This window comes from Homo sapiens, chromosome 5 (genome assembly GCF_000001405.40).
Source record: "Homo sapiens chromosome 5, GRCh38.p14 Primary Assembly".
NCBI lineage: Eukaryota > Metazoa > Chordata > Mammalia > Primates > Hominidae > Homo > Homo sapiens.
This window is the reverse complement of record NC_000005.10, coordinates 127,874,208-127,888,247: the sequence shown is the minus strand read 5'-3', so window position 1 is coordinate 127,888,247 and position 14,040 is coordinate 127,874,208. Positions and strand designations below refer to the sequence as shown.

General features: G+C 40.4%; 1 protein-coding gene across 11 annotated transcripts in view, besides 2 other annotated features; it reads right to left on the bottom strand.

Moving 5' to 3' along the window:
* The window catches only part of CCDC192 (coiled-coil domain containing 192), a 239,292-nt gene that overhangs the window by 53,260 nt on the left and 171,992 nt on the right, over positions 1-14,040 (bottom strand). For 5 of the 11 annotated variants that reach the window (XM_017009806.3, XM_017009807.2, NM_001317938.2 and 2 more), the window contains one exon: positions 12,587-12,710. The exons of 1 other annotated variant lie outside the window; for it this stretch is intronic. In XM_017009806.3, coding sequence (XP_016865295.1) covers positions 12,587-12,710 — 124 coding nt within the window. Of the gene's footprint in view, positions 1-3,336; positions 3,794-7,614; positions 10,383-11,829; positions 12,155-12,586; positions 12,711-14,040 lie in introns of those variants that run through there. 5 more of the 11 variants (XR_948757.4, XM_017009810.3, XM_047417685.1 and 2 more) reach the window with 5 other exon arrangements.
* Positions 12,212-12,291: an enhancer, noted in NCBI's record as "active region_23036". NCBI's record gives its function as "activates an Ori minimal core promoter by ATAC-STARR-seq in GM12878 lymphoblastoid cells {active_cell/tissue: GM12878}" and the evidence as "EXISTENCE:reporter gene assay evidence [ECO:0000049][PMID:35858748]".
* Positions 12,302-12,351: an enhancer, noted in NCBI's record as "active region_23035". NCBI's record gives its function as "activates an Ori minimal core promoter by ATAC-STARR-seq in GM12878 lymphoblastoid cells {active_cell/tissue: GM12878}" and the evidence as "EXISTENCE:reporter gene assay evidence [ECO:0000049][PMID:35858748]".

The following is a 14,040-nucleotide window of genomic DNA, read 5'->3' as shown; positions in this document are numbered from 1 at the left end:
GGTGGGGTTTCACCATGTTTGCCAGGCTGGTTTCGAACCCCTGACTTCAAGTGATCTATGTACCTTGGCCTCCCAACGTGCTGGGATTACAGGCGGGAGCCACTGCACCCGGCTGTCCTGACTTTTAGATCTAACAATACGATCACAATACATATATAAGGTATTAAAAATTGAAAATTAAAAATATGTATTTTAAAGGAGTTCTCATGTTGAAAGCTTGTTAATCTTTAAAAAATAGTAAATAAGGTTGGGCGCGCTGGCTCGTGCCTGTAATCCCAGCACTTTGGGAGGCCGAGGCGGGTGGATCACGAGGTCAAGAGATCAAGACCATCCTGGCCAACATGGTGAAACCCTGTCTCTACTAAATATACAAAAAATTAGTCGGGCATGGTGGTGAGCGCCTGTAGTCCCAGCTACTTGGGAGGCTGAGGCAGGAGAATGGCATGAACCCAGGAGGTGGAGCTTGCAGTGAGCCGAGATCGTGCCACTGCACTCCAGCCTGGGTGACAGAGCAAAACTCTGTCTCAAAAAAAAAAAAAAATAGTTAATAAAAATTATGAATTAATTAATGTTACACATAATTTAAAATGAAAATGAATAATGTCTGGTTGTGGCAAAACCTTACAAAAATGAAATAAAAATTAACTACATATTGTCAGAAATTTTCCAGAGGTTTTGGCAGTCATCCAAAGTTACAAAAACCTATTTACTCTGAAGAGCCATCAAAATTGTTCTGGTCAGCTGGGATAAAGGGACTGGAAGGCATTGTTTTTCAAATAGGTTGATGTATTGTGAGTCAACTTAGAGGATGACACATTTCCCTGAAGTCAGAATCCTATTATAGACAGCCTAGTGTGATAAAGAATTTTGCCATCCTATTGCCTTATACATTTGGGGATTTTTTTTTTTTTTTTTTTTTGAGACAGAGTCTCTCTCTGTTACCCAGGCTGGAGTGCAGTGGCACGATCTCGGCTCACTGCAACCTCCACCTCCTGGGTTCAAGTGATCCTCATGCCTCAGCCTCCAGAGTAGCTGGGATTACATGCATGCACCACCACACCCAGTTAAATTTTGTATTTTTTGGTAGAGACAGGGTTTCCCCCTGTTGGCCAGGCTGGTCTCAAACTCCCTACCTCAAGTGATCAGCCTGCCTCGGCCTCCCAAAGTGCTGGGATTACAGGTGTGAGCCACCACACCCAGCCTTTTTAAGAGTTAAGATAATATAGATTATAACATAGAGATTCTATAGAGCTAAGTTTTATCCCCTTGATCTGTCTTGTAAGTACTTGTTCTGCCTTTGAAGACTGGTAACAATTCTTGTTTTCTTTCATTCCTGAAGCATACATCTATTTCTCTTGCCATTTCTCTTTGCATCCTTTCATTTCCTTGGCCTCAGCAATCTACCTTTTTGAGTTACAATCAATCAATTTACCATTGACCCTTGAACAACACAGGGGTTAAGGTTTCTGACCTCCTGCACAGTTAAAAATTCACATACAACTTTTGACACCCCCAAAACTGAACTGAACTACTAATAGCCTGCTGTTGACTAGAAGCTTTACTGATAATATAAACAGCTGGTTAACACAAATTTTATGTGTTATATGTATCATATACTGTATTCTTATAACACAGTCATCTAGAGAAAAGAAAATGTTATTCAGAAAATCATAAGGAAGAGAAAACATATTTAGTATCCATTAAGTAGATAAATGGATCCAAGATCTTCATCCTCAGCATCTGAGGAGGACGAGGAAGAGGAGGGGTGGTCTTGTCATCTCAGGGGTGGCAGAGGCAGAAGGAAATCTGGGTATAAGTGGACCAGCACAATGCAAACCTATGTTGTTCAAGGGTCAACTGTATAATAATACAAGTTCAGTCTGTGACTGAGGGCTCCTCCTTCCTTTGTTTGCCAAGTTCTATTCAAAGTTCTCTAGAATAGGAATGGGGCTCCTTCCTTATTTACCAGGAAAGCCAGGGAAAAAAGTAGCCCCGGAACATGTCTTGACCATCTTTATGGAGCAGATGCTCTATTGGTGTGCCCAGATTCAGATGATAGCTTGGCATGGCAGGACTTCCAGGTCTTAGTGGAAAACTGGGGAGTCGGGGACATTTATAGCCACAGTTTCTGGGATTAAGAAAAGCACGTGCAGAAGAGCAGTAACATTTTCAGTCTTGCCAGACCTGTTTCTTATGCTTGCCTGAGTTAATAATACACTTTTTCTGGGATCCAACTGCATACGAGGCAACTAAGGAGCAATGAATGCTGTTCCTCTTACATTTCTTCTTTTTAATCATATGTTCTTTGGCAAATATCAAATTATGGCTTTATTTAATTGAGGAATTTAGAGGCATAGTAGGGTAATCTGGTCCAAGCCAGTGTATCTTTAGAATACCATAGTAAATTACCATATACACATAGATTACCATAATGCACAGAGGTATATATCTAATATACATATTAGATACATATAACATTATCCCACTGGCCAGAAATAAATGCTGTGCCTTCATACAGAAGTCTCCTGCTTGTCCAGCAGGATTTGGTTTTGTGCATCCTTTCTAAATTTGATTTGATAAGCTCAAGCTCCCTAGAAGTATCTACTCTTTCCTCCAAATGTATTCATATGACCAATGTAGCTAATCTCTATCCTTAACCTCCTATAAGGAAACACTGAGTTACTAAATAAAATAATAGTGAGGTTTCTGGGGAGCTACAGGAGAGAATACCATTCACTTTTTCTGCTTTGTCAACAAGTGGTTTATACCAGGGACAGCTGCTCCACTACTGACAGCTGGCTGCCAATTGTTTGCAACCCCAAAGTCTCCAATTCAGCTTATGTTGACAAATTGATGTCCATCTGCTGATGTTTGACAAAGGAGTGCCCAAGACTGTTCTGCAAATATCCTGGAAGGAAGTATCTTCCTCCCCAGCTCCAGTCTGAGCTATTTAGCAGCATTCCCAAGCAGTACATGCCCTTCAGGTAATCAGAGCAGTCTCTGTAGCTAAGAACGAAACCTTTGAAATTGATCAAGCTCCAATTCCCTTGTGCTTTGTCTGACATTTAGCTGGTGCTTGCCCTTCATCCAACCTCTCTGGATACAGAGGGAAGAAGACTTTTTTTTTTTAAACAAACAAACAAAAAGTACCATTCCTAAGGAATGGACAGAAGGAAGGGAACACCATTTCCTGATAATGGTATAATTCCAAAATTAGTCTTATAAACAAAGGAGGGAGGGGACCTTGACATCATTGAATTCCCACAGCTGGTGTAGTTAGAAAACACTGGACCCCAACCAAAAATTTCAGGGTAGATCTTTTTGCCCTTTGTTAATTACAAAATAAATAGATTTCCAGACCTCTCGCAAAGGAAGGACCTAAATAAGTAGTGTAAAAATGATAGGGAGAAAAAAGAAGAGAAATGTTGTACTTTCCTGACAAGATAAAACAGTGGATGGTTGTCTTCTCCAAGTTTATAAGGTTTAACTAAAACAGGTTAGAAGGCACAGTGAGAGGTGTATTTTGTCTTCTATCCAGAAAGCTTCCCCATCTTCTTTTATCTGATAACACTCCCTAGCCCTTCACATCTGGCACATGACTCAGGTGTGGTCCAGGATAATATCCCATTGCCTTGGCCGCAGTAATTGATCTAAGGAGTTAGAAAGTGGTATGAGCAGGGAAATCAAATTCCTTCTCTGAGATTTCCTTGTAGACTGTGGAAGCTCTGTTACCTGGAGTTGGGTGTGAATTAATGTTCCTTGATTGCAAGTACCATAAGCCAGTGCTAACTACCTAAGGAAAAAAAAGAATATATGGTAATGATATAAGATAGCTTTCTGTATTTTTTTTTTTTTGAGATGCAGTCTCTTCCCTCTTCTTTTTTTTTTTTTTTTTTTTTTTTTTTGAGACGGAGTCTTGCTCTGTCGCCCAGGCTGGAGTTCAGTGGCACAATCTCGCCTCACTGCAAGCTCCGCCTCCCGGGTTCACGCCATTCTTCTGCCTCAGCCTCCCGAGTAGCTGGGACTACAGGCGCCCGCCACCACGCCTGGCTAATTTTTTGTATTTTTAGTAGAGGCAGGGTTTCACCGTGTTAGCTAGGATGGTCTGGATCTCCTGACCTTGTGATCCTCCTGCCTCAGCCTCTTCTTTCAGTAACAGAAATCATGCCTCTGTTACTGAAAGAACGGGGAAGTGGTTCTGAGTAGAAACAACAAATGTTCACTATAGACTGTTAAGCCTGGACAGCCAAGGGACCCTTTCCCTTTCTGTGCCTGCAGTAGTCCACGTGGGGTCAATAGGCAAGGAGGGGCCATCGGAGGAGTCTAGAAAGCCCGCGGTTCAGCCTCCTTACCAGCCTGAGCGGCTCATACATCCCTTTCCTGCTTCAACTAGTTTCATTTTGGTTTCTGTCACTTGCAACCAACAAAGTCCTGATCAATGCTTAGTTTTTACGTCAGTGCTATTTAAGCCTACAGGTCTCTAAAATGACATTTTGAAAATCACAATCACACTAAATTTGTACATATTGAATTAGGCCACAGCCTCCAGCTGGAAGAAGTAACATTTCCTGAGATCTTCTGTGCAATAAATCTCTAAGCTCTGCAGGGACTCCTGAAACAGATGCTTATCCTTGCGGGAAGTTCTGAAATCAGGAAGAAGATTTTGGTTTAGGGATATAGTGGCTCTATTTCAGGAAAATACTTTCAGTGGACAAAGGAAGAGATAACTAACAGGCAATCTCTGAATGAGACCTATAGATTTTTTAACATTTAACTTTTTAGTTAAATATGAGCTATTTCTGTAAGGCAAATATCAAAACTCCTTAGGAATTTATCATATTTAGAAAGTACACCTTTAACTGATCACTCCTATGCTCTCTTATTTTTTCCCACTGTTAATTGCTGGTGTGTATTGGTCTAAATGTAAAATATCCCATCTTGGTATAGCTTCTGTATCTGAAAGTTCAGTGGTAGTGCTGTAAAAGTAAATTCCTTCCTGCAAATGGTGGGATAATGATTCCTGTGGGGGAGACATCTCTGCCTTTTGTTTTCATAAGTTCTTGTCATTTTCTGTCAAGGCAATAGCACCCTTGGACATAGTAGAGAGTAGGGAGCAGAGTGCAAAAACACTGTGCTTTTGACTACATATCAACCTGAGCTCCATAAAGTCTGATGATGGTGAGCAGTGGTTTTTGACGAAGTCCCAGCATCTCAAACAGTGAAATTCCAAGACCAGACTAGTTACTTTCTTAGAAAACCCTAGGTAGACTGGTAAAACAAATATCTGTTTTCAGTGGTGAAAGAAGGTTACCTGTAGAACTCTTGGTCAAATAATTGGTTGCTAGTCTGGGGAATAACAGCTTTGAAAGAGCTAGGCTGGGAGAAATTAGAAGAGGAAAAGGTGACATTGTTCAACAGACCTACACCCAAGTGGACAACTATTCACGCCTAGTCTTATTCCAATAAATATTAACATGACCTCTCTCTAAATGCTTGGAATGCTGCCAACTCAAGATTTTATTTAGGCCCAACGCACTTTCTTTAAAATACACTTACACTTGACAGGGTTGTTAGTCAGTGTTAGTGAGGATTGCTTTAATCACTGTTTTTTTATTTTCTAATGGAGATAAAGTTCACATAACATAAATTTCACCACGTTAACCGTTTTAAAGTGTACAGTTCAATGGCTTTACTATATTAAAAATACCGTGCAACTATTGCTATATCTAATTCCAGAACATTTTTATCACCTCCAAATCCCTCTTTTCCTAACACCTAGTTGCCATAGGAACTTTGATCCTGAGGAATTTCACAGGTGGAGAGGTAAAAAGAATATTGCAAGAGAGAGGTTTGAGCTGAGTGCCTAGGGGTGGGCATCATGATAAAAGATACACTTTAAAATATTAATGAGAATTGGCTCTGGGGTGTCGGCAAAGAAATATATTTCCGGACTTTCTCAAGAATGTAGGATAGCAATAGTTTGATACTTAAAATAAATGGGATAAGTTGTGTAGTGTTTAAAAAGTTATGTGTCACTGAAAAATCACTAAAATGTCAATCCCATTACAGGCTTCCCCTCAAAAGTGTAGCTGGCTCGATTCAGACATTGAGTCTTGGATAAGTCTACCCTGGAATGTACCAGCACTACCTGAGGAGTACCTCCTTAATGGGAGTAAAACAAAGAGGTAACTTTAGAGTTGCCAGGACTTTCATTGGGATAATGGGGACATGCATGTGTAGGCTAGACACCTTGGCCTCCCAAAGTGCTGGGATTACAGGTGTGAGCCACCACAACCGGTCACAAGGATTGTTTTAAAATTTAACCTTAGGTTCCTGCATACTGAAGTGTACCAAAAGGTGGACTCAAGCTTTGAAGGGATACAATAGGTGTTTTACTGAGTTCTGCTAAATAGAGCTGTAAGCATTTCAGGTGTGGAAATGATGGAAGGAATCCGCCTTGGGTTGTGATTATTTGAACAAAGTAAAATCAACAAACAACACTCAGGCTGTAAGTAAGTTTCCTGCTGTGCCAGTTTTGTAATAAAGGGGCTTTTCTTTTCAGCTGAACTTTCCATCGACTTAAATCGTTTATTTCCTTGGAGGTAATTTAAGCACACTGCCAATGAAATAGTTTACTGTGTTTATGTTTTTAAAAAGAAAGAAGTTTGGTAGCACACTGTTTCATTAATTTGAATATGAATATGCCTAAAAATATTCCTAATATTTTGGAACATCCCTCTGATCCCTCTGATCAGAAGACCTGAATGACAGACCTGAATGACCTATAGACTGCTTAGAAAATGAACCAAGCAAGGAAAAATCACACAGAGGTAAAAAGGAGTTCTAATTTATTTGGAAACATTTCATTAATCTGCTTGTTAGAACTGTAAGCATCAGTTTGTAACTATAACAGAGAAATAGCTGAATATTAATCTAGGTAACAAATGTCACTTAGAATCAACACTTTTTTCCCCTTCTTGCCATATAATTGTTACAACAAAGCAAGCCTTCAGAGTAGGTGACCATGTATCACTTACTGAAGGCTAGAAGGGGACTCCTTTTCCAAAGTGGTTCACTCTCTATTTATCATGGGGTCTGAAATATTTATTATGGGGTCTGAAATTATACCACTGGAGATTTATTTCTTAGATCATGAAGGTCTTTTGTTCATTGAGAAGAATCGACTTTTAAAGTACAAATACCCATGGTATGGGTTGCTCATTAAGTATTACACTGTATGTATGTATCTATATTTTATTTTATTTTTTGAGCTCGAATCTCACTCTGTCACCCAGGCTGGAGTGCAGTGGTGCAATCTCGGCTCACTGCAACCTCTGCCTCCTAGGTTCAAGTGATTCTCCTGCCTCAGCCTCTGGAGTAGCTGGGATTACAGGTGCCCACCACCATATCCAGCTAGTTTTTGTATTTTTGGTAGAGATAGGGTTTCCCCATTTTAGCCAGGCTGGTCTCGAACTCCTGATCTCAGGCGATCCATCCACCTCTGCCTCCCAAAGTGCTGGGATTACAGGTGTGAGCCACCGTGCCTGGCCTATACTATATTTTAACTTGACCACCAGCTGAAGGTGTATTGGAGATGTTTTGTTTTTTTTTTAATTTATTTTCATTTTATTTATTTATTTATTTTATTATACTTTAAGTTTTAGGGTACATGTGCACATTGTGCAGGTTAGTTACATATGTATACATGTGCCATGCTGGTGCGCTGCACCCACTAACTCGTCATCTAGCATTAGGTATATCTCCCAGTGCTATCCCTCCCCCCTCCCCCCACCCCACCACAGTCCCCAGAGTGTGATATTCCCCTTCCTGTGTCCATGTGATCTCATTGTTCAATTCCCACCTATGAGTGAGAATATGCAGTGTTTGGTTTTTTGTTCTTGGGATAGTTTACTGAGAATGATGGTTTCCAATTTCATCCATGTCCCTACAAAGGACATGAACTCATCACTTTTTATGGCTGCATAGTATTCCATGGTGTATATGTGCCACATTTTCTTAATCCAGTCTATCATTGTTGAACATTTGGGTTGGTTCCAAGTCTTTGCTATTGTGAATAATGCCGCAATAAACATACGTGTGCATGTGTCTTTATAGCAGCATGATTTATAGTCCTTTGGGTATATACCCAGTAATGGGATGGCTGGGTATATACCCAGTAATGGGATGGTATTTCCAGTTCTAGATCCCTGAGGAATCGCCACACTGACTTCCACAATGGTTGAACTAGTTTACAGTCCCACCAACAGTGTAAATGTGTTCCTATTTCTCCACATCCTCTCCAGCACCTGTTGTTTCCTGACTTTTTAATGATAGCCATTCTAACTGGTGTGAGATGGTATCTCATTGTGGTTTTGATTTGCATTTCTCTGATGGCCAGTGATGATGAGCATTTTTTCATGTGTTTTTTGGCTGCATAAATGTCTTCTTTTGAGAAGTGTCTGTTCATGTCCTTCGCCCACTTTTTGATGGGGTTGTTTGTTTTTTTCTTGTAAATTTGTTTGAGTTCATTGTAGATTCTGGATATTAGCCCTTTGTCAGATGAGTAGGTTGCGAAAATTTTCTCCCATTTTGTAGGTTGCCTGTTCACTCTGATGGTAGTTTCTTTTGCTGTGCAGAAGCTCTTTAGTTTAATTAGATCCCATTTGTCAATTTTGTCTTTTGTTGCCATTGCTTTTGGTGTTTTAGACATGAAGTCCTTGCCCGTGCCTATGTCCTGAATGGTAATGCCTAGGTTTTCTTCTAGGGTTTTTATGGTTTTAGGTCTAATGTTTAAGTCTTTAATCCATCTTGAATTGATTTTTGTATAAGGTGTAAGGAAGGGATCCAGTTTCAGCTTTCTACATATGGCTAGCCAGTTTTCCCAGCACCATTTATTAAATAGGGAATCCTTTCCCCATTGCTTGTTTTTCTCAGGTTTGTCAAAGATCAGATAGTTGTAGATATGCGGTGTTACTTCTGAGGGCTCTGTTCTGTTCCATTGATCTATATCTCTGTTTTGGTACCAGTACCATGCTGTTTTGGTTACTGTAGCCTTGTAGTATAGTTTGAAGTCAGGTAGTGTGATGCCTCCAGCTTTGTTCTTTTGGCTTAGGATTGCTCTAGAAAACCCCATTGTCTCAGCCCAAAATCTCCTTAAGCTGATAAGCAACTTCAGCAAAGTCTCAGGATACAAAATCAATGTACAAAAATCACAAGCATTCTTATACACCAACAACAGACAAACAGAGAGCCAAATCATGAGTGAACTCCCATTCACAATTGCTTCAAAGAGAATAAAATACCTAGGAATCCTACTTACAAGGGATGTGAAGGACCTCTTCAAGGAGAACTACAAACCACTGCTCAAGGAAATAAAAGAGGATACAAACAAATGGAAGAACATTCCATGCTCATGGGTAGGAAGAATCAATATCATGAAAATGGCCATACTGCCCAAGGTAATTTACAGATTCAATGCCATCCCCATCAAGCTACCAATGACTTTCTTCACAGAATTGGAAAAAACTACTTTAAAGTTCATATGGAACCAAAAAAGAGCCCGCATCGCCAAGGCAATTTCATTTTATTTTTTGAGACAGAGTCTTGCTCTTTCACCAAGACTGGAGTGCAGTGGCACGATCTCAGCTCACTGCAACCTCTGCCTCCCAGGTTCAAGCAATTCTCATGCCTCAGCCTCCCAAGTAGCTGGGATTACAGGGATGCATCACCATGCCTGGCTAGGAGATATTGGTTTTGCCTATCACTCCTTTCCAGTAATGAGATATTCCTTTAAGAAAGTGGATTTCTCCTAATCCAGCTCTGTGCTTTTCGTAGGAGCTGCCAGCTGGAGCATTCTCCTTCCCCACATTTACTCCCTCTACCCTGCCACCCAGTGGTGGGGACATGACCACAGTTTGTTCAACCTTATTTCCTCAGCCCTGGCCACAAAGATTGGTTCATATCCACAGATGGGTACCCAACCTAAGCTAGGACTGAGTTCTTTCTTGCACTTTCCAACTAGAGTTAGTGGAAAAATGCTTTCTTTCTTCCCTGGAGATTATATGATAAGGAGGGCAGCCCATAGCTGCTTGTGGCCATATTTCCATTCTCTTCTGAAGTCTAGCCTGAGAGAATCAAGTCTCAATGCAGAGAGAAGCAGAGGTGAGTGACACCGTTTCCTGATGGTACTTTAGACTGGAATCCATCTTTAGAGAGAAGCAGAGATGAGTGACACAGTGTTTCCTGATGGTACTTTAGACTGGAATCCATCTTACTCCAAGGCTAGTGCAATGCTCTCTCTTGGTTTGTTTACATGTGCCGGTAAATCACCCTTTCTCCTTAAGCTGTTATGACTGGAGCATCTTTCATTTGCAAACAGAGGTCTGAGAACCCAAAACAAACATTTTACAAGATAATCAGGGGAGTGGTGGTGTTCTAGGTCCAGAAATATGTGTGTGGGGGGGTGGGCCAGCCCTCATTGTCCTGTGATTAAATAGGGGTCATTGTGTATTAAAGTTACTGGACATCTTTTCACACTTTATTCTGAAGTGAATTCAGAGGCCAAGGTGACCAGATTTCTGAGAATGCCAGTTAATATTATTCTGGGACAACAATGGCCTTGACAACCTCCCGGACTATTGAATGTGGGTGAGGCTGCAAGGGGCCTGTGGAAGAGCAAGAATGTGCAAATATTTGATTTAGGATCTTAGTGCTAGATGTCAGTCGACTGACTTAGTTTCCCCACCAAATAAGAGAAGCAACATGTAGCTCCAAAAGAAAATCACTGTTTTGATCCATAATGGATCTTACAATGACTGGCTTTATTTAAATTTTAAATTTGCATCTGTTCATAAATACCCATGTTTTTCTATACAGGTAGTTTAAAAAAAAAATCCACAAAAATAAAGAGAATAATGGGCAAAAAAAGGGTAAGATTTAATGTTTTCTTCCCTATCCCAAGCCATTAGAGTTCTAGTCCCTCAGTATTATTTAAATTTTGCCCTATCAAAATATCCAAGAAACAAAATTGTCATTATACAGTAAATAATATTGAAAAAAATGAAACTAATAAGAATTAGAGACCTTGCGATTATATATATATATTTTTGCACCGGGTTTAAAACGCAATTGAAAAGTTGAAAGCTTCTCGTAAGCGAGCTGGGGAACTTTCTCCAATGTGCTCTACAATCATTGTCAGTTTCTTCTAATGAAACCAGTGGAAAATCTGGCTAATGCCTCAGAATAAGGACTTTTAAATGGATAATATTCTGTGACGGATTTTATTCTTTTAGGTTTCATGGTGGTAAAAGCAAATTTACAAACTGCCTTTATGTTGTTTCATTGAAAGAAAAAACTGTTTCAAGTTCACAATGTTACATGGCATTTGAATCCTGGGAAAGCACTATACGAAATTGAAAATGAATATCAAATTCACATGAAAAGCTTTACCATGTAGTCAGGTGCTGGGAGTGTCTCCCTTTCTGAAACTACCACATCGCCTGCTTCCTCCTCCTCCATTTGATTCTGCATTGCTCCTCTTTTTCCACAATTACTCATGAGTAATAAAGAAAGCCAGAGTAAGAACGATGGCATGTTCCTGGCTTTGCAAGAGTGGCACACATCAAAGGAAGACATTTTTCCCAGGAACCACAGCTTTGCAAGAGATTCACCAGGCAGGAGTGAAGTTTGATATTACTGTGACATAGCAGAGGGAATGCCCTGAGTCTCCCAAAGCTGGGAAAGGCACACTAGGGTATGGTCAGCGGCTGCTCTAGAGGGTGACTCTCCAAGTGTTGCTTGTGCAGTGGCAAGGTAACACACATCTCTAAGCCTCTGCTTATTCTTAGGGAATTCTTAAATGTACTTACCTTAGAGGTTATTCTTAGAATTAAATAGACATGGAATGCTTAGCAAAATACCTGGCCCATAGCACTGTATTAATTGTTAACTAGTATTCTTGCTAAAATTACAGTCTGAGATTTGGAGTTTTTTTGTTTGTTGTTTGCTTGTTTGTTGCCTAATGGTGTGTTTATAATTTGTTAGCTGGAGAAGTCTTTTTTTAAAAAGTCAGAACCAATGTGGCTATTAACAATTTTCTGAACTACCCACATTTCATCTCCAGCCAGCCTTCTCTGCTTGTTTCTGGTTCATTTGCCTATTGGTAAAAAAAAAAAAAAAAAAAAAATTCTGTTCTCTTCCCTGTGCCCTAGTCTGTCAGCCTGTGCTTTCAGACAGCTCTGTCTCACTCCAGAGCTCAGTCCCTGCAGGCACCTGCCTTCCTTCTTACGCCCTGCCCTCCCCCTGCTACCACCCAGCTTGTGCAGTGACACTTCTCAGATCTATTTCAGTCTAGCTCTTCAGCCTCACAGACTTTCCCTTAACGAGCAAACCGCTTATTCATTCCCTGCCCCTCTCAAGGTGAAAGTGAATCCAGCCTGGAGTTAGTAGTTCATGTGCTGTCTCTACTGGTGCCACACAGAGGTCAGACCAGGCCTGTAGCCTCGTTTTTTTTGCTTCGTTGCCAATACAACTACATACATCACCCAGCTGACGGGCCAGTGTGGATCTGTCACGTGGTAATACTGACCTCTAGGGGCTGGCTTTCCTTCATATAGAGTCTTTATCTTCTCATTGAGTTCCAGAACTGTGATGGCATTAGCTGTTGCCAAATCAGTCTGTAGTTTTTTCACTTTCTTTTCATGCTTTAGTTTCTTAAAAAAAAAAAAAATAAGAGTTTCCATCACTAGGGACAGACGCATCAAAGAAATAAAAGGAATGAATGATGTCTGAACAAACACTGCCTTTGAAGCCTGCTTAGATGAAACACTCCCTGTTTATCTAGATTGAGTCCTGTTTGAGGTTTGTGAAACAGTGTATGTGCTCCTGTCAGAGTGTTTGAACCCTCAACAAAAAAAAGCCCACTCTCTTCATCATAGTATCTTTTACACTGTTGAAGAGTTTTTACCTGGGTCAGAACCCTGTTGCTTATAATAGAGGCAGTTAGAAGAACTCTACTTGCCAGTTGGCATTTGCCACCGAGGTACTAATGCCTACTAGTATCAGATTTTTTTTCCCATCTGTAAGTAGACTCATATGAAATAGAGCCTTGATTCTAAGTCATTTCCCCCTCAACACCATAATGGTTTGCTTTCAAATACACTCTAAAGTGTGATACGACCACCAAACGCTGGTGTTTTCTGATATTTAGTATGGGATCCATACAGGGAAAGTGTCAAGGGTAAGAAAGCGTCAAGCATAAGAATGGTTTTTAAGCAGTAATGAACAGGAATGCCTTACTCTAAAATAATTTGATTTATGAGATCGAAATCTTTGGGAGAACTGCATTAGGAACTTGTTACATAATCAAAGGATTCACCTCGAGACTTCATGACTCGAAAGTTCCTTTTAGGGTTTCAGAGTAGATTTGATTCATTAAAATTGGATTTATCTGCAACTTTGGAGAAGCTGTCTGTTGTGAAAGGTGTTGCATTTGCGCTTTCGTGTTGCTTTTGTATAGCTACCTTTCCACTGAAGAGCTCACCTTGCCAAGTCTTTGTGGGCTGGTAATTAGGAAGCCGGGAAAATAATCTACTAACATTTCTTATCAGACATAAATCTTGAGATAGGGAAGGGATGGTTTTTGCTCACTAGGTAAGATCATATTCTTCCCTGGCCTCTGAAGGCACTATACTCAGGCAGTAGGGAACCACTCTCCTCTTTGAGAGTAACACCAGTAAAATCAATTTATCAAAAATGGTCTTAAATAGAAACAGGCCTCTCATTTCAAAGACCCCTCATTTCACTTTTTGCTTTGTTGCCAGTACAACTACATACATCATCTGGATGATTTATGAGATCTAAACCTTTGGGAGGTCACCCAGATCAGGTTATCTTCTAGACCCCAAACAGGAAGATCAGCACTTCACTAAAGCTTAGTTAATGGCATGAACATGGCTAAAAGAAATGTGTTACTCGAAGGAGAATGGTAGTCATGGAACTTCTTTAAGGGGAGTTAGAGGGTAGAATTAGGCAGGGTTCAGC